At 38.7% G+C, this 24,651-nt stretch overlaps 1 protein-coding gene across 1 annotated transcript in view; it reads left to right on the plus strand.

The window, feature by feature from the left end:
- The first annotated feature begins 1,097 nt into the window (after positions 1–1,097).
- The window catches only part of SMIM31 (small integral membrane protein 31), a 49,665-nt gene continuing 26,111 nt past the window's right edge, over positions 1,098–24,651 (plus strand). Inside the window, exons 1-2 of the mRNA NM_001352885.1 lie at positions 1,098–1,378; positions 17,386–17,522. Of these exons, the coding sequence (NP_001339814.1) occupies positions 17,411–17,522 (112 nt within the window). The 5' untranslated portion in view covers positions 1,098–1,378; positions 17,386–17,410. The remainder of the gene's footprint in view (positions 1,379–17,385; positions 17,523–24,651) is intronic.

The raw sequence follows: 24,651 nt of genomic DNA on the forward strand, positions 1-24,651 counted from the left end.
TCTCACACCCCCTCCCCTTTTGAAACCCTTGATAAAAACTAGCTGGTTTGAGGCTCAGGTGGGCATCATGGTCCTACCGATATGTGATGTCACCCCCAGTGGCCCAGCTGTAAAATTCCACTCTTTGTACTCTTTCTCTTTATTTCTTAGCTGGCCAACACTTATGGAAAATAGAAAGAACCTACGTTGAAATGTTGGGGGTGGGTTCCCCTGATACCACTACACTCCAGCCTGGGCAACAGAGTGAGAGTCTGTCTCAAAAAAAAAAAAAAAAAAAAATGACAAAAGTTGGACATCAGTGCTGCAACAAGTGGTCAAGTGATCCAAGTGGAATTTATCCTCAGCCTTCATCTTTACCATTACTGATAGTTCACTTCTTCCCTTTTTATTTTTCCCAGCTGAACTAAAAGTAGAAACTAAAAATAAAAATAATGAGTAAAAATAAGCAAAGAAATAAGATCTCCTTATTGTAAACAGCAAAAGGGCCACTTAATAGGCAACAATAAAAACCAAGACAAGGCCAGGCACAGTGGCTCACACCTGTAATCCCAGCACTTTGGGAGGCTGAGGTGGGTGGATCATGAGGTCAGGAGGTTGAGACTGTCCTGGCTATCATGGTGAAACCCTGTCTCTACTGAAAATACAAAAAATTAGCCAGGCATGGTGGCAGGCCCCTGTAGTCCCAGCTACTCAGGAGGCTGAGGCAGGAGAATGGCGTGAACCTGGGAGGCAGAGGTTGCAGTGAGCTGAGATCACACCACTGCACTCCATCCTGGGTGACAGAGCGAGGGTCCGTCTCAAAAAAAAAAACCGAAGACAAAAGCTGACAAGTAGCTGTGAAGTCCCAAGATAAACTATGGTTGAAAATTGTTTATCAAACTCTCGTGTTCGGCTTGCCTGTTATCACTAAAGACATTAAAGAATACTATAGAAATTGACCTATGTTCAGACACGTCACTCCTATAAACCACCTGTTGAATTTCTTGACTGTCAGCCAAAGCACAATCTTTGTTTGCTCAGAACTGTGTATAGTAGTGGTATTTACAGATGGTTGGGTGACAGAAAAAGTAAATAACTACGTTTCATTACAGTTTCCTGTTTCCTTCTTGATCCTTCACAAGGGAAGATTTTCTTTTTTAGAGGTACAGATTCCTCTTAGTCAAGTCCTGATTAAAACTCCAGCTAAGACATTAGTAAGCCTTGGTTAGTGAAGTGGCATCAGGAAGTGCCTACATTTTCATGGCCTGGTAGCGTTCAGTGAAAATGTTCATTAACAGACACAGGCCATTCAGTCCCGAATCCCAAGACACTGAAGACTCTGTTTGAATCAGACTCACGGGTTCCTTCCTAGCCACTCTCAGGGACAGGAATGCTTCTGGTAAGTTTTTATAAATCCCCTATTTTATTTACCTCAAAACTCTCTCTCTTTTTTTTTTTTAACTAATTCATATGGACTAGAAATGTAATATTTAACTGCCACAGCTAAGAAATTTTACTTATTGTTCTTTCCTGGAGGTATTTTTTTTTTTTTTTTTTTTTTTTTGCTGTTAAAAAAAATGGCTAAAGAGGGAAGGAAAATTTTCTGTTTTGTAGAACAACTCCCCCTCAGAATATTTTTCTTCTCTTTTGCTATGTTTGGTTTATTTGTCCTAGTTTTGTTTTTTTCCAAAGCCAGAAGATATGTATTTGTATTTAATTCCAAGGTAGAATTAACCAAATTAAATTAAATCATACGATTTCACTCAGTTCTTATACTTTTCTATGCTGAAAGTATGGTACCATATTTTGGTGAAAGCAAGAAATAATTTCAAAGGAAATATTTTTAAGGGATGTAGTTAAATAATTATTTAAGTTTAAGGTTAAAAGCAGATAAATGACGGTATTTCCTCCTGAGTATGATAGAAATATTTTTCTATCATCAGATTTATGTTATTAAAAGCCTTTAGAAATACTCAGGAGGAAATACTGTCATTTATCTGCTTTTAGCCTTAAACTTAAAATAAATAATTATTTAACTACATCCCTTAAAAATATTTCCTTTGAAATTATTTCTTGCTTTCACCAAAATATGGTATCATATTTTCAGCAGTAGAAAAGTATAAGAACTGAGTGAAGTCGTATGATTTAATTTAATTAGAAATATTTTTCTATCATCCACAGCCACAGCCAGGCACGGTGGCTCATGCCTGTAATCCCAGTACTTTGGGAGGCCAAGGCAGGAAGATCACTTGAGGTCAGGAGTTTAAGACCAGCCTGGCCAAAACGGTGAAACCCTGTCTCTACTAAAAATGCAAAAATTAGCTGGACACGGTGGTGTGTGCCTGTAATCCCAGCTACTCGGGAGGCTGAGGCAGGAGAATCACTTGAGCCCAGGAGGCGGAGGTTACCATGAACTGAGACCACGCCACTGCACTCCAGCCTGGGCTACAGAGGGAGACTCTGTCTCAAACAGAAAGGAAAGGAGAGGAAAGGAGGGGGGAGGAGAGGGGAAGGGAGGGAGAGGAGAGGAGGGGAGGGGAGGGGAGGGGAGGGGAGGGGAGGGGAGGGGAGGGAAATCTGTGGCCAGCATTGTGTTGTTCTAGATATTCAACCTGCAAATCTGAGCTGAAGTATTATGGGATATGCCTTGAAAATTGAAATTGAATGAAACTGATGTTATTGATTTGCCTTTTGTCCCATGTGATAAAATATAAAAAACACACCCAGTTTCACACCAGTCTCTGGTGGGACAGAGACTAGCAATTACATCATCAACAATTTAAAAAATTCTTTGGAATGCAGTAGTAGCAAAGCCTTTTAGTTCCCAACACGTTGTTATGAAAATTGTTCAAACATAGAGAAAAATTGAAATAATTGTATCATGAACATCCAAATGCCTTCCATGTAGATTGTACAATTAGCATTTTGCTATATTGGCTTCTTTACATATTATCATCTCTCTGTACGTCCACTGATTCACCTTCTTTATTTTTATGATACCTTTTAAAGTTGAAGACCTCAGTAAACTTTACCCCTAAACATTTAGGAAAGTATATCACTAACTAGAAGTCAATATTTGTTTAACTATTTTCTTGAGATAAAATTCAATTAGAGTGAAATGCACAAATCATTAGTGTTATGATTCAATGAATTTTAATGGATATGTACATCTATGTAATCCAAACCCCCGTCAAGATATAGAGAACATCTCTGCACATGTATCCCAGAACTTAAAGTAAAATTTCTTTAAAAAGGAAACTTTAAAAAGTAATAATAGGCCGGGTGCGGTGGCTCACGCCTGTAATCCCAGCACTTTGGGAGGCTGGGGCAGGCGGATCACAAGGTCAGGAGATCAAGACCATCCTGGCTAACATGGTGAAACACTGTCTCTACTAAAAATACAAAAAAAATTAGCCAGGTGTGGTGGTGGGCGCCTGTAGTTCCAGCTACTCAGGAGGCTGAGGTAGGAGAATGGCATGAACCTGGGAGGCGGAGCTTGCAGTGAGGCGAGATCACGTCACTGCACTCGAGACTGGGGGACAGAGCGAGACTCTGTCTCAAAAAAAAAATAATAATAATATAAACAAATAAAAAGATATAGAGAACATCAATATGGCTCCAGATCTAGAATGCTCTTTCCTTTTACCTAATCAAGTTCTACCCCTGCCTCCAGATGTAAACAATCTTCCTCTCTACATAGTATGTATGTTCAATGTTTTCTTCAGATTCATTTGTCTTGTATGTATCACAAAATCGTTCTTTTTAATGTTGAGTAGGATTCCATTATGTAAATATGTAATTTGTGTATCCATTCTCTTGTCAATGGACGCCTGAGTTTTGTCCAATTCTTGGCTAGTATGAATAAGCCTGCTATGGGAGATAAGTGTTTCTCTGAACATATGTTTTCAGTCTGTTGTGTAAATACCCAGAAGTGGAACTTCTAGGTCATACTGTAGTTATAGTTTATTTTATAAAAGACTTCCAGAGATTTTTTTCAAAGGAATTGTATCATTTTAACACCCTAACATTGTATGAGCATTTCAGTTACTACACATCTTTGCCACTCTTAGGGTTTTGGCTTTGATTTTAGCTATGTTAGTGGTTAGGCAATGCTATCTTATTGTGATTTTATTTGCGTGTATCTGATGATGAATGTCGTTAAGCATTTTCTCTTAGGTTTATTGGTCATTTGCATATGTTCCTTTGTGAAATGTCCATTCAAATATTTGGGCCATTTTTTTAAAACTTGGATTGTCTTTTTGTTATTGAGTTGGAGTTTTCATAAGTATGTATTGCTGATACAAGTTCTTCGTCAAATATGCATTTTGTTAATATTCTCCCCAATCTGAGCCTTGCCTACTCATTTTGTTAATGATGCATTTTGATGAGCACTACCTTTAAATTATGATGAAAAGTCTAATTACAAATTTTTGTTTGGCTATTAATTTCCATGTCCTATCTTAAAAAGTCTTTTTTTTACCATTAAGTTGTAAAGACACTCCACTATGCTTTTTTTTTTAGAAGTCTTACTGTTTTAGCTTTTACATTCAGTTCTAAGACTATGTTGAATTTATTTTTCATATGTTGCTGAAGCAGAAATAGAAGTTCCTTTTTTTTTTCCTATAAATGTCTCATCGTTCCACCACTGTTTTCAAAAAAACATTTTCTTTTCATTACTGAATTGCTTTGGAGCTTTGTAGGAAATCAAATGTCATAAAGGGTCGATCTTAATTTTGAACCCTTTATTTAGTGCTACTAATCTATTTGTCACCACTTACACAAATACTACACTCTTTTGATTACTAAAGTTTATAGTAAGTCTTGAAGTCAGGTAGTATGAGTCCTCCTACTTTGTTCTTTCTCAAAAGTTTAGGTGCAGCCTTTGCATTTCCTTAGAAAGTTTAGGATCAGCTTATCAATTTCTACAAAAAAGCATGATAAGATTATGACTATAATTGCCTTGGATTTATAGGTTAATCTGGGAAGCTTAACAATATTGAGTCTTCCAATCCATAAAATATCGTATATCTCTCAATTTATTTAGATATTTTATTTCTCTCAGAAGTGTTTTGTAGTTTTAAGTGTATATATCTTCTCTATTTTTGTTAATTTATTTTTAAATTGTTGAATTCTATTTAAAATATAATTATTATGTTTTATTTTACAATTATTGAGGCCAATATATAGAAACGCAATTGGTTTTTCAATATTGACTTTGTATCCTAAGATGTTACTAAATTCTAGTAGTTACCTTGTAAAATTCTTAGGATTTTTTACATAAACAATCATATCATCTAAAAATAGAGTTTGTTTTACTTATTAAGTTGTGCTCTTTAGGCTTTTAAATTTTTATTTCTAACTTTATTGCATTGGCTAAAGCCTTCAGTGTAAGTTGGATAGAAATGACTGAAGTAAATATTGTTGCTTCGGGGCAAAGGATTCAATAGTCCACCTTTAAGTATGGTGTTAGCTCTAAGTTTTTCATACATGTCCTTTATTAAATTGAGGAAGATCATTCCCACCTTTCTGGGCATTTTTATCATGAAGAGTGTTAATTTTTTTCAAATGCCTTGTCAGTATTTATGGAAATGACCATATATGTAGTTTTCCTTTTTTTGTTTTTTTTTTTTTTTTTTTTTGAGACGGAGTCTCGCTCTGTCCCCCAGGCTAGACTGCAGTGACGTGATCTCGGCTGACTGCAAGCTCCGCCTCCCGGGTTCACGCCATTCTCCTGCCTCAGCCTCCAGCATAGCTGGGACTACAGGCGCCCGCCACCACGCCCGGCCAAATTTTTTTTTTTTTTTTTTTTTTTTTTTTTTTTTTTTTTTTGTATTTTTAGTAGAGACTGGGTTTCACCGTGTTAGCCAGGATGGTCTCGATCTCCTGACCTCGTGATCTGCCCGCCTCAGCCTCCCAAAGTGCTAGGATTACAGGCATGAGCCACCGCGCCCTGCCTCATATATGTAGTTTTTCTGCTTTATTCTGTTAATAGAGAACATTACAGTGATTGAATTCCAAATGTTAAGCCGACCCTGGGATAAACCCTGCTTACTCATTATAGTATCCTTTTATGTACATTGCTGGATTTCATTTGCTATCATCTTATTAGGATTTTTGTGTTTATGTACATTAAGAATATTAGTCCGCAATTTACTTTTGTTATTGTTTTTGTAATGTCTGCCAGTTTTGGATATCAGAACTAATCCAGGCCTCATAAAATGATTAGGAATTATTTCCTCTGCCTCTATTTTCTGATTTTATGTAAACTTTTTTTTCCTTAAGTGTTTGATAGAATGCACTCATCTTGTGAGAGCTCCTCACAATCTTTCCATGGAAAAGGAGACTGCTAATAATAATAGCTATCATTTTGTGAGGTCCTACAATGTATCAGTTACTTTATTTGGTATGTTACATATGTTAATTTAATCCTCACAACAACCCTGAGAATAGATATTATTCTTATGTCAAAAATACAAAAACTATATCTGTAAGTGCCAGGGGCTAGAATCAGGTATGACTCGAATGGGTAAGCTTTTTCCATTTAACTAAACTCCCTATCAAATTTATTTTTATAGTGACCTAAAGATATCCCTATCAATGAGGTATCATTCCACCAGGCAAATCTGTATCCACTTCATTAGATCTTCATTCATTCATTCATTCATTCACTGAATCATATTGGTAAATACTAATTGAGCTCCTCCTGGCTAAATATCTAGCCAGGTACTATTCCAAGCACTGTTCTAGGCTCAGCAAACAAAACACACAAAAATCCTCGCCCTCATGAAGCTTAAATTCTATTATACTAAACAATAAATACAATAAATAAGTAAAGATTAGAAGGTAATAATTGCTTTGCAAAAATATAACAAAGCAGGCTAAGGAGACTGCGGGGAGTTCCAACTTTTAATATGAGGGTGAGAGTAGACCACACTGAGAAAGTAACACCTCTGAGCAAAGGCTTGAAGGAGGTAAGAGGGTAAGCCATTCAGGTCTCCAGAGAAGCGCATTCCAGGTAAAGAGAATAGCCAGTACAAAGGCCCTCTGGTGGAAATATGCCTGGAGTGAAGGAGCAAAAGCCAGGAGGATAGTGCACCTAGAATGGAGGAAATGACGGGGAGGAAAGTAGGAGAGAAAGTCAGAGACAAAGCAGGACCAGATAATTTAGGGTCTTCCAACAGGACATTTGCAAGGATACTGGCTTTTAATCTGAGTGAAATAGGAGCCATAATAGAGTGTTGACTAGATAGGCAATGTAGTATGCCTTACAATCTTAAAATGCTGTCTTAAGGGTAGAAAGAAAAGCAAAGGGAGACATTGAGAGATCAGTTAAGACCCTATTTCATTAAACCTTGTGAGTAGTAGTGCTTCAAATCAGGGTGGTTGCAATGGAAGTGGTGGGATTCTGAATGTATGTTGAAGATAAAGCCAATAGGGGCCAGGCCTGGTGGCTCATGCTTGTAATCCCAGCACTTTGGGAGGCCAAGGCGGGTGGATCACTTGAGGTCAGGAGTTCAAGACCAGCCTGGCCAACATGGTGAAACCCCAACTCTACTAAAAAAAAAAAAAATACAAACATGAGCCAGGTGTGGTGGTGGGCGCCTGTAATCCTAGCTATTCAGGAGGCTGAGGTGGGAGGATCACTGGAACCTGGAAAGTGGAGGTTGCAGTGAGCTGAGATAACGCCACTATGCTCCAGCCTGGACAGAAGAGTGAGACTCCACCTAAAAAAAAAAAAAAAAAAAAAAAGATAAAGCCAATAGGATTTCTTGAAAGAAGAGGATATGAACTGTGAAAGAAAGATAGGAGTCAAGGATGACTTTGAGGATTTTATCCTGAACAACTAGAAACATGGAGCTACTGTCAATGAAAAGGGAAATAAAGGGGGTGAGACAAAGAAGGAATTCTGTTTTAAACACATTAAGTTTGAGAAATAGTATGTACAAGTCCAAGGATGCATGAGATCTTTGTCCAGTGAAATCTCTTAAGTTTCTTGAAGTTTAGAAATATTACATATTTTCTCAAAGCCAATTGCCCATCTATGATAAATATTTTATTGCCATTCTAAGCCAAAGAATTAAATGCTTTGGTTATTCTTCCCATTTTGAAACCAACCATATTTTCAAATATAGTAGTATTTGAGTGTGAATTTTTCATTTAAAAGAAAATCACAGGATTTACTAATAATTTATCTTTATGCCATAGCATAACTTTATCAGGGAAATAGTCTTTCTACTATGAAGAAGTAAATCAACAATTTAAGAATTCTAGGAAACAAATAGAACAATTTTCTTGAATTGATTTTTATTCTTTACATAATCATCTTAATTCTATTACTGAGTCATTCATCCTTATCTTAAAAAAATTCATAAATCACCTTTGAACCTTGGCGAGGTAGTTACAGTTTCTGCCCTTTGAAACCTAGCAAAATAGAAATTACAACACTGTTTCACATTATAAAAGAAGCCATAGTCAATTCCTCATGCCTACAGTAGAGTCTGTAGTTGCAAAGAGTTGGGTCAATTCTACTGTCCAGCAGCCCAGTGGCCCACCATCATAGTTATACCTGGATTGCAACAGGTAATCTCCACCCTGTTCATAAGACTCAGTTTAATAAGGTCTCTGGCTGGGCACTGTGGCTCACGCCTGCAATCCCAGCACTTTGGGAGGCCAAAGAGGGTGTCTCACGAGGTCAGGAGTTCAAGACCAGCCTGGCCAAGATGGTGAAACCCCATCTCTACTAAAAATACAAAAAAAAAAAATTAGCCAGGTGTGGTGGCTAGTGCCTGTAATCCCATCTACTCAGGAGGCTGAGACAGAGAAGTGCTTGAACCCGGGAAGGGGAGGTTGAAGTGAGCCGAGATCCTGCCACTGCACTCTAGCCTGGGCGACAGAGCAAGACTCCACCTCAAATAAATAAATAAATAAATAAATAAATAAATAAATAAATAATCAGGTCTCTGATGCTTTGCGTTGCCTCCCACTTCCAGAGCTCCTGCTAGCTCAGCCAATGTCGGCAGGAGGGAGGAGAAACGTGAAAGAGTCACCTCACCTCTCCACATGCCACCACCCCCAAAGCTCACACAGAGCTCACTCTACAGGGTCTAGTGGTTGTGAAATGGGAAACTGCTTGCAACTTTAAATAGGAACTTTGGGGTGTGAAGCTTATGACTGAAAGGGGACTATAAATATATCTTCCTTTAAATGGATAACAAGCATGGGCAAAAACAGAATAATCTCTGCAAAATTTTAGGGATTCTAAAGACTGGAGATATACCTAACATCAACAGAAAGTCAAGGAATTGGGAATAAGGTATAATGTTCTAAGTAAAGCCTTCTTCTATTTTAACAAATACCTAATTCAACCAAGATGACTGAATAAATGTTTAATTCAATCAAATGATTGAAAGTATTCAATATCTGGCCAGGCGTGGTGGCTCACACCTATAATCCCAGCACTTCGGGAAGCCGAGGCAGGCAGATTACTTGAGGTCAAGAGTTTAAGACCAGCCTGGGCAACAGGGTGAAACCCCATCTCTACTAAAAATACTAAAATATATATATATTTTGAACCCAGGAAGCAGAGGTTGCGGTGAACCAAGATCGCACCACTGCACTCCAGTCTGGGCAACAGAGTAAGACTCTGTCTCAAAAAAAAAAAAAAAAAAAAAGAAAAAGAAAAAGAAAAAGAAAGAAAGTGTTCAGTATCTAATCAGAGCGCACAATGCTGCTATAAAACAATGTACAGAACACTTGCTTATATTCAGTGCACACTTCATCTATCATATTGAAAGCATCGGAGCTACACAGTTGTGGGTGAGTTTATGTGATTCCACTCTGCCTAGAAGAATGAAACGCTTTGAAGAACATGCAAAGGGGAAAACCTAAAGATACCTGAATTCATGCTCTCCTTGGGCAAAAATAAAGCTCTAATGACTCCAAGTTAAAGTGACTTTGGAGATCTAATATTTTTCAAGCACAAAAGAATTCTGATTGTTTTGCTTAGGGGATGAATATCTAGTTAAAGACAAAAGACATAAAGAAAAAAATGAAAGTTATTCACAACATTATATACAGTGTATATACCCTTATGAAGGGGAAAAGAACTTTAGTAAACCTATACTTTAGAGACTTGTAAATTTGGCAATGCTTCTTTCAACCTTATAAATGCCCATTGCCTCAATAATTCAATTCATTAAATGAGAATATCAAAATAAAAACACAAACCCTTCCCTGATTTTATTTCCTATTTCCTATTCTCTTTAGTTTCCAAAATTCTTCAACATGTTATATTATCTATAATCACAAAAATAACTGGAATTTTTAAATCATCCTTTAGAAACTCAGAAATTGTTATTAAATAAATTGAAAACTAAAGTGTACATCAGGAAGGATGAGAATGTCTTTTAAAAGACATTTTACATCTCGGAATTTTTAAAAATGAACCAAATAGAAATTCAGGCTAAAATTAAAGAAAAAAACTTTTTAAAGAATAAATCTGCAATAGTGAATTAAACTTCAGAATTTCTAGTGACACAGAAAAGGGGATGAATCTCAATGACTGTATGATTGAGCATTCACCAAATGCCAGACACTGTTCAAAGTTCTTTATTTCACATGTGATCCTCCCTAAAACTCTGAAAATCAGTCTCCTAAGCTTACAGATTAAGCAAATTCAACAATCACAGTACATTTAGCTTGTTCTTATGGAAAAGATAACCTTGTTTCAGGCAATGTTTTTGCCAAAGATTTAAAAGAAGGCATAGAATACCTGCTTATTAACCTAGTGGGTGTGTGTATATATGAAAAAATCAAGTTGTACACCCTAACTGTATACAATTTTTATTTGCCAATTATACCTCAATAAAATTGGGAGGAAAAAACCTTGTGGTTGACATAAAGCCAAAGGAATCTTCAAACATTCTGTGAGATAAGAAAAATAACGGTAGATAGGAAGTGCTATATCTATCTTTAGTTTCCAAAATTCTTCAACATATTATTTATAATAGTATATTTATAATCACAAAAATTAATAACTGTAATTTTTAAATCATCCTTTAGAAACTCAGAAAGTGATATTAAATAAATTGAAAACTAACAATTGTTGAATTTTCCCTAAGCTGTTTTGGTCAAATAGCTGTCCAGCCTGAATTCCTCTAGTGATGAGGAACTCACTATCATTGGAGGCATGGATTGCCCTATATGTTTTTTTAAATGAGGCCTGACCGGCAACCAGACCATTGGCAGACCATTGAGTTAAAATGTGGTGGGTGTGGCAGGGCACAGTAGCTCACACCTGTAACCTCAGCACTTTGGGAGGCCGAGGCGGGCAGATCATGAGGTCAAGAGATCAAGACCATCCTGGCCAACATGGTGAAATCCTGTCTCTACTAAAAATACAAAAATTAGCTGAGCGTGGTGGCGTGTGCCTGTAGTCCCAGCTACTCGGGAGGCTGAGGCAGGAGAATTGCTCGAACCTGGGAGGCGGAGGTTGCAGTGAGCCAAGATCGCGCCACTGCACTACAGCCTGGCGACAGAGCGAGACTCCATCTCAAAAAAAAAAAAAGAAAAAAATAGAAAAAAATGTGGTGGGTGCTGTTGTTGCCTTACTGGAATCCAGTCAACCTAATTCAAAATATTGCCTTCAGCTTGGTTACTCCACTTTAGAGGGATTTGGAAGTAAAGGAGAGAAATCAAAAGGGACAAAGGACACAGAATTATGTCATAAGAAGAATATTTGTCTAGACAAAGGAAAGAAAGCCCAGGCAACATGACAAATTCCTGGTCTTCAAATATTTGAGGATCCCTCTCATAAAAGGAGAACTTTTTAGTTCTGTATTTAGGAATCACATGGTAATAGTTAAAAAGAACAGAATTTTAGCTGATATAGAGTTTTCTAAAGAGCAGGGTTATCCAGAGATTAAACAGATTGCCTCCAATGACAGTGAGTTCCTCATCACTAGAGGAATTCAGGCTGGCCATCTATTTCACCAAAACAGTTTAGGGAAAATTCAATCATTGTATGGTGTCTGGACAAGGTGATTTTTGATTTTCTTTCCAAACCTGAAATTTTATTTGGAGGAAAGTTCTCAAGGACAAGATGGCTTTTTGTTCAGAGTTTGACCAGAAGAAGACTTGAGACATGGAGTTGCCCAAAGAAACAGAGGAAGGCAACATGATAGAGGATCCATCCAAAAAGAAAGATTGAGAAAATCAAAGAGACATGTAGCAGGTTGAAATGTCAAGTAGGAACAGCATTGACAGGAGCTGGGACACATCATTTGTCATTCAGCAAGCGTGATTTGCCAAGTACTTGGTGTCAGGGAGTAAATAAGAAAAACAGTTTTCTGCCTGTATGAGCCTTCAAGGTGAATACATAATTCAGAAACCATATGCAGAGACTAATGAGCGTTGTTGGCATTTCACAGATGGACGGGATAATTCAAGGCTTTGTTTAGTAGACAGGATTTACACCATGACAGAACCACCCTCCTACAGATAAAACGGAAAAAAGTGCCACTGGTTTCAGATTATTTAAATTAGATAAGCATTCAATGCAGCAGGTGAGTCTTGTTCAGAATTTTTAAAGAAGGAAGGGATACTTTGTCTCAGAAAAAAAAAAAAAAAAAAGGCAGATAAATCCAGGAAGCAACAGAAGTGGCATGCACGTTGGTTAGTAGCCTTTAGACTTTTTCCACAAGGCCTTTGAAGGCAAGGGGGGAGTGGGCACTGCAGTATCTCACAGATTTTTTTCAGCCCATAGTTTTCTAATGTAGCAGGCTATAAGAATTCAAAACACTAAATTCCCACTGCCCAGAAAAGTGCATTTACTTCCTGTAAATAAGCCCTTTATTTTTACTCTGGCAGATTTTTCTTTAGATGAAGGCAGTCATTTTACCTAGTCCCCTTGGCCCTTGATGCATGCACACAGCATCTACAATAGGAAGGAGACTCAATAAGAAGAGCATGTTCCATGCTGTCCCCGAGCAATCATAACAGCACTCAAGGGAGCCGCGAGAGAATGAACGGATGGTGCACAAAGAGAGCAGTGAGCTCTGTCAGCAGCCATGAGACAGAAAAATAAAGTAACAAAGGAAAAGAAACACATCTCCCCCGTGAGGGCAATAACAGCAGCAAGAAAAACCATCAATCCCAACCATGCTGCCTGTTTTATGGAAACCTTAAAGCCATTTTCAAAATATACTTCTTGTCCTCTGGGTGGGATTTTCTCAAGTAATAGAGTGCTTGATGCCGCTGAGATTTCCAAATACATCTTCAATCCAGAGTTTCCATTCACAGCTGTGAAATTCAGAGTTTTGCATCAACTTGCCTTCTTCGGTGCTGCTTGCATCCACTCGTTTATGGTCACTCAGTGAATACTTATGGGAAAATGTACTATATGCCCGTCATTTTTCTAAGCCCTATAGGTACGGAGATAAACAAAGCAGACTGCTTTCATAGAACTTTAATGGGGAAAGACAGACAAACAATAACAAAAAAATGTAGCCAGGCACGGTGGCTCACGTCTGTAATCCCAGCACTTTGGGAGGCTGAGGCAGGCGGATCACGAGGTCAGGAAATTGAGATCATCCTGGCCAACATGGTGAAACCCCATCTCTACTAAAAATACAAAAAATTAGCCAGGCGTGGTGGCACACACCTGTAGTCCCAGCTACTCGGGGGACTGAGGCAGGAGAATCGCTTGAACCCGGGAAGCGGAGGTTGTAGTGAGCTGAGATCGTGCCACTGCACTCCAGCCTGGTGACAGAGTGAGACTCCATCTCAAAAAAAAAAAAAAGAAGAAAAATGCAATGGAGAATAGCTGTGATGAAAATAAAACTGCTGAGAACTTGGCTTAGATTAGAAGTCAAGAAATGCCTCTGTGGGGAGGTGGTGCTTGAACTGAAGAGAAGACACAGAGAAAGTAGACAATGAGAATGTAGAGGAGATTCTCAGGCAGGAGGAAGACAGGATGAGCTTAGCAGGGCAAGGAACACAAGCAAGGTCAGTGCAGGAGCATGCAAACTGTCACACATGCTACCATCAGACGGGATGTGGGGTAGGTGATGGGGGCCTAGTAGGGAAGAACTGGGAGTTTGAATTTTACTCCAAGGGAAGCCATTGGCTAGTTAAGTAGAAGAGGAGTGGATCTGATTTACATTTATAAAGATCATTCCCTTCGTGATGCTAAAGGATAGTAGGAATACAGAATGGTAGGGTCGGGATAGTCTAATGACCATCTGAATTTAATCTGTTTCCTAAATTATCTAAGAAATAATGACATATCAAGGTAACCAGGCTTTAGTCACTAGTAAATGATTTAACTTAACTAAGCTTAGATAAGCTTAAATGTGATAGAATATATGATAAAAGGAGTTACGTTAATTTTTATCATACAAAAATAATATGATTTACCTACTATCTGTTACTAGATAATAATTTCAGTTGGTCCTAACCCTTAGAGAAGCTGTGGGGAACAAGTGATACATTTTTGCACCAAGTAAGCTGAGATGGAGAAAATGTCCAGAGAACAGACTACAGATACACAACCCAGGAAGAAATGCAGGCTGTACAACCAACTGTTCTTCAGATGCTCCATCAAGGATATGCAAGAATGGGAACAGTGTAGGCATCAGAAGCATCATCTTTGCATTTAGAAAATAACTCTTGGCTGGTTTATTTATGCAGAAATCACCTCTTCTTGAATTTAGGGCATAGTTGTGGAGAGCTCCTGGTCAAGGGCTCTGTGCCCTGAGCATTTGACAAGAAGGTAGTCGGGTTCCAAGTTCCATAATCATAGATGTCTGACAATATCTATTATCCCACTATGTCTTTTCCCCCAGCTTTCAATTTCTACTGACAATTCAAAGACCATTATTTTGCGTTTATTTGTCTAGAATGGCAGCATCTAGGGTAGTGAGCTAGAAATAACTCATCACAGGGCCAGAGGCGGTAGCTATGCCTGTAATCTCAGCATTTTGGGAGGCAAGGTGGGTGATTGCTTGAACCCAGGAGTTTGAGACCAGCCTGGGCAACATAATGAGACCTTGTCTCTACAAAAAAAATCAAAAAATTCGCTGGGCGTAACAGTGCATGCCTGTAGCCCCCAGCTATTCTGGAGGCTGAAATGAGAGGATTGCTTGAGCCCAAAAGGCCGAGGCTGCAGTGAACTGTTATCATGCCATTGCTCTCCAGCCTGGGCAACAGAGCAAGACTTTGTCACAAAAAAAAAAAAAGAAAAGAAAAGAAAAGAGAAAGAAGAGAAAGAAAGAGAGGGAAAGAGAGAGAGAGAGGAAGGAAGGAGCTACTCAGGAAGCTGAGGCAGAGAACTGCTTGAACCCGTGAGGCAGAGGTTGCAGTGAGCCGAAATCACACCACTGCACTCCAGCCTGGGTGACGAGCAACAGTACATCTCAAAAAAAAAAAAAAAAGAATGAGGATTCTGTAACCAGGTTGCCAGAGGAAGGGAAGGAGGCAGGAACTCACCACACATGAGCTATGTGTCCAGAAAACATTAACAGCTGCCTCCTCTCAAAGACAACTACCTTAAAATCTGTTGATATTCTAGGCGTAGGACAAAACTGGAGAATAGGAGAAACCATTTTGCATGAGCACAGGGTACTACATATGTATAATGAAACATCTTTAGAGAGTGTGGGTAATTCATCCTTCTTTCTCCGACCTATAGCACTTAAAAACCACTAGATGGCACAAATTTTTCTGTTTTTATTTTTATTTTTTCTTCAAGAAAGAGTCCTCACAGAAAACTGACGGTAAAAATAACGGTATTCTCTGAGCTGCTTTAGCAGAGTTAATAGTCTTCATATTCTCTGAAGAAGCAGAAGCTTGATCAATTCATTTTCCAAATATTGATGAATGGCCGAATATGTCAGAGTGCATCAGCATCTCTACTAACCACAATGAAGTTTGAGGAATTAATATTCTCTACCACCGATTTCACACATGATTCTGGGAGCCTCTTTTTCCCAGTGATCTTTGTCTCCCCTCTTTCTCCCTGAACTTCATTTTAATGTTGGGGCACCCTCTGCACCCCATATGGCCAACAAGCTACCAAGATCCTTCTGCCCTTCCATCAAATCGGCTCTGAGTTTTATCCCTTCCTCTCTATCCTTCCTGCTAAAATCCTGACACAGAGCTAAAACTCACTCTGAGTTTTTTCCAGTTACCATTCTCTTCCTTCATTCTCTCCTGTACATGGAGATGCCATTAATATTCGCAAAATACTGCTTCATCACGTCTCCGTACTACTAAGGACCTTATATTCATCTTCTAATATCATTTGAAAAAAGACTAAGCTCTCATCTTGACATTAAATTCTTTCTATTATCCTTTGCTTAACCCATTGTATCTTCTACCACCTAACATAAAAACTCCTCTCCCATAAAAAATGATGAGTTCATGTCCTTTGTAGGGACATGGATGAAGCTGGAAACCATCATTCTCAGCAAACTATCGCAAGGACAAAAAAACCAAACACCGCATGTTCTCACCCATAGGTGGGAATTGAACAATGAGAACACATGGACACAGGAAGGGGCACATCACACACCGGGGCCTGTTGTGGGGTGGGGGGAGGGGGGAGGGATAGCATTAGGAGATATACCTAATGTTAAATTATGAGTTAATGGGTTCAGCACACCAACATGGCACATGTATACATACGTAACAAACCTGCACGTTGTGCACATGTACCCTAAAACTTAAAGTATAAAAAAAAAAAAAAACTCCTCTCCAATCAATCCACATAATGCTTTTGCAAAACATGATCCTAACCATTATGGTGGGTTTGGGATTGATTGGCTGGTTGGTTGGTTGGTTAGTTGGTTAGTCGAGTGTCAGTATAGTATATTGATTAAGAGTGAGGATTCTATAACCAGATTGCCAGAGTTGGCATTTCACCTCTACCATATACTAGATTTATAACTTAAGGTAAGTTACATCTTAGTGCTTCAGTTTCTTCATTTATGAAATGGAGACAATACTGGTACCTCACTTACAGAGTTATTATGAGGATTAAAGGAGGTAATAGCTCAAGCTTTTTCAAGTGCCTGGCCCCGTTTAAGTGCTCATTGCACGTCAGCATACCTTGTCTTTATTCCCAGAGTTGTGTCAAAAAACTCACAAAGCTGTGTAAAGGTAAACTGACTCTACCATTCAGATTTCTAGGCTCTCTTCCAATCTACACAGTGAAATTGTATGCCAAATTTCAAAACAACAAGAGCACAGTCCATTCTTGCCACTGCCAAATACATTGTTCCAGGTACACAGAAGTATTTTAACAAGCTTTAGCAAATCTCACACATGTTGAATTCTAAAATAAATCATTGCTGAGCAAGCTCTCTCTGGATTAGAGTATGCTGAGCCCATGTTTTATTCCTATTGTAGGTGAAGAAGTTTTCGGTGGTGGTTCATGGAGCTTCCCTACACCAACTTGGAAATGGCATTCATTTTATTGGCTTTTGTTATCTTTTCCTTATTTACCCTGGCTTCCATCTACACTACTCCGGATGACAGTAATGAAGGTAAAAGAAGACAAAAAGAACAAAGCTCTTTGTGGCTACTGTGTCCTTTTCCCTGCCTATCATCTTGCCATGTGTTGGGATTTGGTTTGGTTTCTATCCTGTGTGTGAGGATAACTTTGTTTTTGTTTTGTGGCATGTGTGTGTGTATGTGTGTTCATTCAACTATATATAGAAAGGAAAAGGATTACAATTTTTTAATGAGTTCTTGGTAAAGCCCAAACATTTAAAAAAATTCTGTAGAAGTCTTTTAAAAACCCAGTACCACATTTTTTTCCTCATTGCCAGTAAAAACAATTGTTAATAAGAGAAGTGTATAATTTAAAGGATTGTGCCCACCACATGGTTACCACATGGTAACCATAGTTACCATAGTTCAGGGCCCACCACATTTCAGACGAAATTGATAACTGGGGAAATGATACATTTGGGAACCAAAAATTTATATTTATTTGTGTATATGTGTGTGTAAATATACAATTAGGAAATTATGTATATTCATAGAAAATAAGATAAAATCATAAAAAGCAAATTGCATTTGTGCTTCCTAGCTTATCCCCAATCCCATCAATTCTTGACTATAAAATAAGTGCTGTCTGTGAATTAAAAGACTATTCTATCCGATAGACATACAACACTATCATAACTAGGAAACAAAAAGCCGCAGTAAATAGACATTCCAGTTCATGCTGACTTGCAGATTGCGAAACATAATTGGAATCCATAAAATCTTTTTCCTGCTCACAATTGTTTCCACTGTGTTAGTTTAAAATGGGTTTGGCTAAAAGAAAGAGTAAAACCAAAATAGCAGTTACTTTAACTACATAATAATGTATTTCCCTCACCAGGACAGGAAGCCCGGAGGTAGTGAGTTCAAGGCTGACGTGGCACTTAATAAAATCTTGGAACCCAGGTTACTTCTACCTTGGTTCTTTCCATCTTCGACATAAATTTTAAAGAATCCACTTGCTGGGCGCGGTGACTCACGCCTATAATCCCAGCACTTTGGGAGGCCGAGGCAGGCGGATCACGAGGTCAGGAGATCAAGACCATCCTGGCTAACACAGTGAAACCCCGTCTCTACTAAAAATACAAAAAAAAAAAAAATTAGCTGGGCTTGGTAGCACGCACCTGTAGCTCCAGCCACTCAGGAGGCTGAGGCAGGAGAATCAGTTGAACACAGGAGGCGGAGGTTGCAGTAATCTGAGATTGCGCCACTGCACTCCAGCCTGAGTGACAGAGAAAGACTCTGTCTCAAAAAACAAAAATTAAAAATTAAAAAAGAATCCACTCAACCTGGAAAAATGGTTGTCTCATTTTGGTGCCTTAAAAATTGATTAAAATGAAATTACTTAGCTATAGTGGAAATTAGAATGAAGCAGGGCTGATTTTCCCAGTTTAGTACACTGTTTACTGACTATCTTGTTTGCCTGTAAGCATAAAAAACAACGGAAATTTTTATCAGGAGCTATATTAATTCATTCTTGCACTGCTATAAAGAAATACCTGAGACTGGGTAATTTATAAAGAAAAGAATTTTAATTTGTTTATAGTTCTGCAGGCTGTATAGGAAGCCTAGTGGCTTCTGCTTCTGTGAAAGCCTCAGAAAGCCTCCAATCATGGTGGAAGGGAAAGGGGTAGTGAGGCATCTCACACGGCCAAAGCAGCAGGAAGAGGGAGAAGGGGGAGGGGAGGTGCTAGACACTTTTAAACACCCAGATTCATGAGAACTCACTGCCATGACGATAGCACCAAGGGACATGGTGTTAAATCATGAGAAACTGCCCCCACGATCCAATCACCTCTCACCAGGCCCCACCTTCAACACTGGGTATTACATTTCAACATGAGATTCGGGAGGGAGCACAGATCCAAACCGTTATCAGGAGCCTTCCATGAAAAGGGCAGAACGCGAAGCACTTTAGAGGCATTATTGTGTTTAATCTTAAAACAATCCCATGAGATGAGTAATAATAACCTCACTATTTCACAAGCAAGGACACTGAAGTTTTATTTTTTTTATTTTTATTTTATTTTTTTTTTTGAGACGGAGTCTCGCTCTGTCGCCCAGGCTGGAGTGCAGTGGCGCGATCTCGACTCACTGCAAGCTCCGCCTCCCGGGTTCACGCCATTCTCCTGCCTCAGCCTCCCGTGTAGCTGGGACTACAGGCGCCCGCCACCACGCCCGGCTAATTTTTTGTATTTTTAGTAGAGACGGGGTTTCACCGTGTTAGCCGGGATGGTCTCGATCTCCTGACCTCGTGATCCGCCCGCCTCGGCCTCCCAAAGTGCTGGGATTACAGGCGTGAGCCACCGCGCCCGGCCGGACATTGAAGTTTTAAACTTTACCATAGATCACTCAGCTAATACGACAGAGAGCCAGAAGTTAATCTCCAGCTTATAGGACTCCAGAATCTGGAGTGTGCATAACCAGCACACTTTCTCTTCAGATAACCTTGAAAAAGACACTTGGCTTTAAAAAAAAAAAAAAAAAAAAAAAAAAGCATATATACTTCTCTTTCTTTCTGCAAAGGGCTTAAATTGGCTAAAAAGATATAACAAGATACAACTTAATTTTTAATAAGTAGATAAGGACATCCAGGCAAAAGGAAAAATTAGGGTAGGAAAAAATGGGTGAACTTGGTAGGGAGAAGGAGGCTGGCATACTATTTCAGCACAGAGCACAAATTTGTGATTAGTCACTCCTGGATTCATGTCCTGGCTCTGCCATTGGGTAATTCTGCCTTTCGAAAAATCATACAAATTCTCAAAGCCTCTGTGTTAGTCTGTTCTCATGCTGCTAATAAGAACATACCCAAAACTGGGTAATTTATAAAGGAAAGAGGTCTAATTGACTCACAGTTCAGCATGGCTGGGGAGGCCTCAGGAAACTTACAATCGTGGTGGAAGGGGAAGCAAACATGTCCTTCTTCATTTAGTGGCCAGAAGAAGAAGAATGAGCGAAACTGGGGGAAAGGCCCTTATAAAACCATCAGATCTTGTGAGAACTCACTCACTATCAGGTGAAAAGCATGGAGGTAACTGCCCCCATGATTCTATTACCTCCACCTTGTCCCTCCCACAACACGTGGGGATTATGAGCACTGTAATTCAAGATGAGATTTGGGTGGATGGGGACACAGCCAAACCTTATCAGCCTCCATTCCCTCATCCATGTTTTGGGGATAATAATAGTACCTTCCCTGCAGAGTTGAAGTGAGAATTAAATAAAATAAATCATATAAAATGCCAAAGGGTGACTGTTAGTGGAGTCTTCTTCTTGGGAGTCTTCGTGATTAGAAATTTAGATAGAGCAATAAGATTCATCATCTGGCTGGGTGCGGTGGCTCACGCCTGTAATCCCAGCACTTTGGGAGGCCGAGGCGGGCGGATCACAAGGTCAGGAGATCGAGACCATCCTGGATAACATGGTGAAACCCCGTCTCTACTAAAAACACAAAAAATTAGCCAGGCGTGGTGGCGGGCCCCTGCAGTCCCAGCTACTCGGGAGGCTGAGGCAGGAGAATGGCATGAACCCGGGAGGTGGAGCATGCCGTGAGCTGAGATTGTGCCACTGCACTCCAGCCTGGGCAACAGAGCGAGACTCTGTCTCAAGAAAAAAAAAAAAAAAAAGGTTCATCATCATGAAAAATATTTATTACAAAACCAATACAACTTGTATTCACTTAATCCACACACTGGGTCAATGTCTTTGTTTTAAATATCTGGCAATACAATACATTCCACACAAATCAATTGCAAGGTGACATCACACATGTCACAAAAGATAAAAATCTGATGTAAGGGAAGGTAAAGTTATGGCCACTGGAATCCCTCAGGCAAAGCCACTGACAAATGAGTGCTTAATAGAATTAGACCACCTATCCAATAAAGAAGAGATGGGTACATAAGCACCCCAAAATAGTGTGAAGTGAATGCCAAAGAAGTGAAAGACATCTCAGAAAATTAATGATGCTTTGAATATTTTTTGCTAATGTTATCCTCTATAGAATTGTGCTATGAAAATCACAAGTAACAAGGAGAGTATTGTATGGAGCTATGATGCAAATGTGTCAGAAAAGTGATGCTCCCCAACCCACCCACATCAACATCTCATCCATTATTTGTCTAAAATTAACTTTGAGTTGCAATTACAAACTGCATTTTATTAAATGAGTAACATAATTTTATTTTCATTATTTTTAGTTTCAAGTTTCAATATAAAGTTTCATTCAAAGTGGTTTTTTGTTTTTGTTTTGCTATTTTATATTAAATTTTGCCCTGGCTCAAGTAAATTCACTTTAGTTGATCCATTCCAGTACCATTTATTCTCAGATTAAAAAGAAATTACCTGTTACAGAATGATATCCTCAACAGTGTTAGCCAACATCAGTTATCATCCAAGGAACTAGCTGGAGGCATGCTCTTAAATCTACTTACTTGTAGGAAATGGGCCAGACATTTGGGTCTTTTCTTTCTTTAAATCCAGCCAAGAGGAGAAAACTGACAACATCGAACTTTATCTGAGCTCTGTGCTTCTGGAAAGCAGGTATAGTCCAGAAATTCCACCAACCTTTTATTTTCTGAAATCTCCCCACTCTTATTTTCCAGGAAATGGCTTAAGGAAAAGAACTACCTTTCCCCTTATGACATAGATAAGACTCACTGTCCACTCTTTCTCCTGACTTCCCTAAGACCCATGAAGACTCCCTTGTTTACCTGAGCCTTGGACAAATACAGACCTTTCCTCTTTTGCCTGAAGCTGCAGACAAGAACAGACACAGACCTTTCAACTCCTTGTTCTTTGTCTCATGAATGATTTAGCTGAGATTTGAACTGTTTGTCCTTCTGAAACTAGCCAGATAGATAGAGCTAAACATTTGCATTACAGCTATTTGAGACTTCTCCTGATAGCAAAACAATCCCAACTATAAATCATCTTACCTATAACTTTTCTACTCCTCCCTATAAAATTCTGCAGTAAAACTACCCTGCCAAGCTACTTTGATCTCTGGATTTGAGGTGCTCTCCCTATAGTAATAGCTTGAATAAAATCAATCTGCTTACTTGTGCGCACACGTTTGTGTGTGTGTCTTTGACAAAACACAGTCTGGTCCCTATATATGACAAACTGGTGTGGATAGGATAAAAAGTAATATAGTTGCTTAGTAGGATTACAGCTATTTCTGGCATGGAGAAAAGAGACAATGGCTCACTAGAAAAGAATCTCATTAGGGGCTCTAGCTCAGGGATGTTGGAACTTTTTCCAGTAAAACCCTTTTCCAGATCTGCTCCCTCACCTACAACACATTTACCCATGTGTGTGCAGCTGAAAGGAAAGTTTCATAAACTCAGCCTCTCTACAGGTGATATACTCCAATACTTTGCATTCTGTTTTGTTCTTTTTTGCAAGGCTGGTGGCAATTCACCTAAACTACATGTCAATCTCCCAGGCAGAAACCTTCACTAATTGGCCATTGCCTGCAGAATAAAATGAAAATTTCCAAGGCTTTTGAGCATTCTTATTGTTCCAAGTAGAAAATGTCCACCTGTCCACCAATAATCCCCTCCTCCCCCTCTACTTGAATCTTACTTATTCTTCAAATAAGTCATTTTCTCTCTTCTTTAATCAGTCTAACCCAAAATGAACTCCCTCTCTGTGGAACTTTCATAGAGCATTTTAATATTTCACTAATTTGGTGCTTATCTTCATCACCTTGTACTATTGGTTATGTTTATATGAGTAGGAAAATAGACTATAAAATAATGAACTAGAGTTCCATGATTTGTTACCTGACTTGGTTGACCATTCAGCAAGTATACTTTTTTACATGCTGTTTGCAAGAAGGCACTGTAGAGGCATGGGCACAGATGAAAAATTAGCCAATTACCAGTCTTGCCCTTAAAGTTTAGAGTCTCAGAGGAGAGGTAATACAGGTAGGAAAGTACAGGATGGTAATTCCTATTCACATAAAAATACAATTCTTCATCCCTGTGTGAAGCCTTTCCTTGAATGGCTGAAAATAAAATAGCAAACTAACAAAAGCATGTTTTAAAGATAATAAGAAATCACTCTTTGCATGTCATCTAGAATGTAAGCTCCATAATGCAGATTTGGTCTGTTTAACCACTGCTCATCCCAGCACCTAGAACACTATTTGGGAAATAGGTGGTTTTCAGTAACTCATTACTGGATAAATTAATAAATACCTAGAGCTTATTTCTTTAGAGAAGCTCAACATATGAGTTTCACATTTCATGAGCATTATACATCATCTTACTCATTCTATAGCTCTTCCTACCACTTTTTACCTAATAATAGTTCATGTTGCTTTATCTATATTAATAATTTAATCCTAAGATTAGGCCTATGAGGCAGGTATTGTTATAATGCTACACTAAATCTAAAATCCTCAGAAATACTCATTAGGATCTCATGGACTTGTATATGAGCAGAATCACAGGCTGATTTACGCAAAAAGATGATATATGGGCTATTCATAAACCTCCTTCTTGAAAACTCAGTGACATGAAGCACAAATTAATTCAGAATAACACAAATCAATGTAGACAGGCTTTTCATGATGGTCTTCAATGTATATTTGATCAACTTTCTGTAATGTTCAGGTTTGATATATTCATGAATTGAAAACAGATTTTAATGTCTGTCAAACAAAACATGACCAGGATAGGCATGCCCTCAGGGCAGAAGAAATTATATTCTGCATGCCAAAGTCAAATATAAATGGCGTGGTATATTTCCATTTTTTGTGTTACCCAGACCACTGCTTCCTTGTATTTTCTTAAATTATATAGAATCATTTTGCACCTATTTCGTTGTTCTTTAGTTTTTAAATTCACCACTGTGAAGCTGCAGTATCAGTTTAGAAGAGATTAGTATAACAGTCTCTTTATATCTCTAGAGGTAGCACATAGTGACGCGGCAGTAGCTGCTCTTTCCTGCCTGAATCATATTGCTGTCCACCTGCACACTAGGCCCTGTCTTTGAAAGTTGTCTGGTGTAATGACCAGTAGGAAGTGATAAAATGTAAGTGACCCATCAGGGAATTATAAGGATGTTCTGGGAAGGTAATGATCCTTCATCAAAGGTGTGTCCAGCCTCTTGACAAGC

The sequence above is a fragment of the Homo sapiens genome, chromosome 4, assembly GCF_000001405.40.
Source record: "Homo sapiens chromosome 4, GRCh38.p14 Primary Assembly".
Classification (NCBI taxonomy): Eukaryota; Metazoa; Chordata; class Mammalia; order Primates; family Hominidae; genus Homo; species Homo sapiens.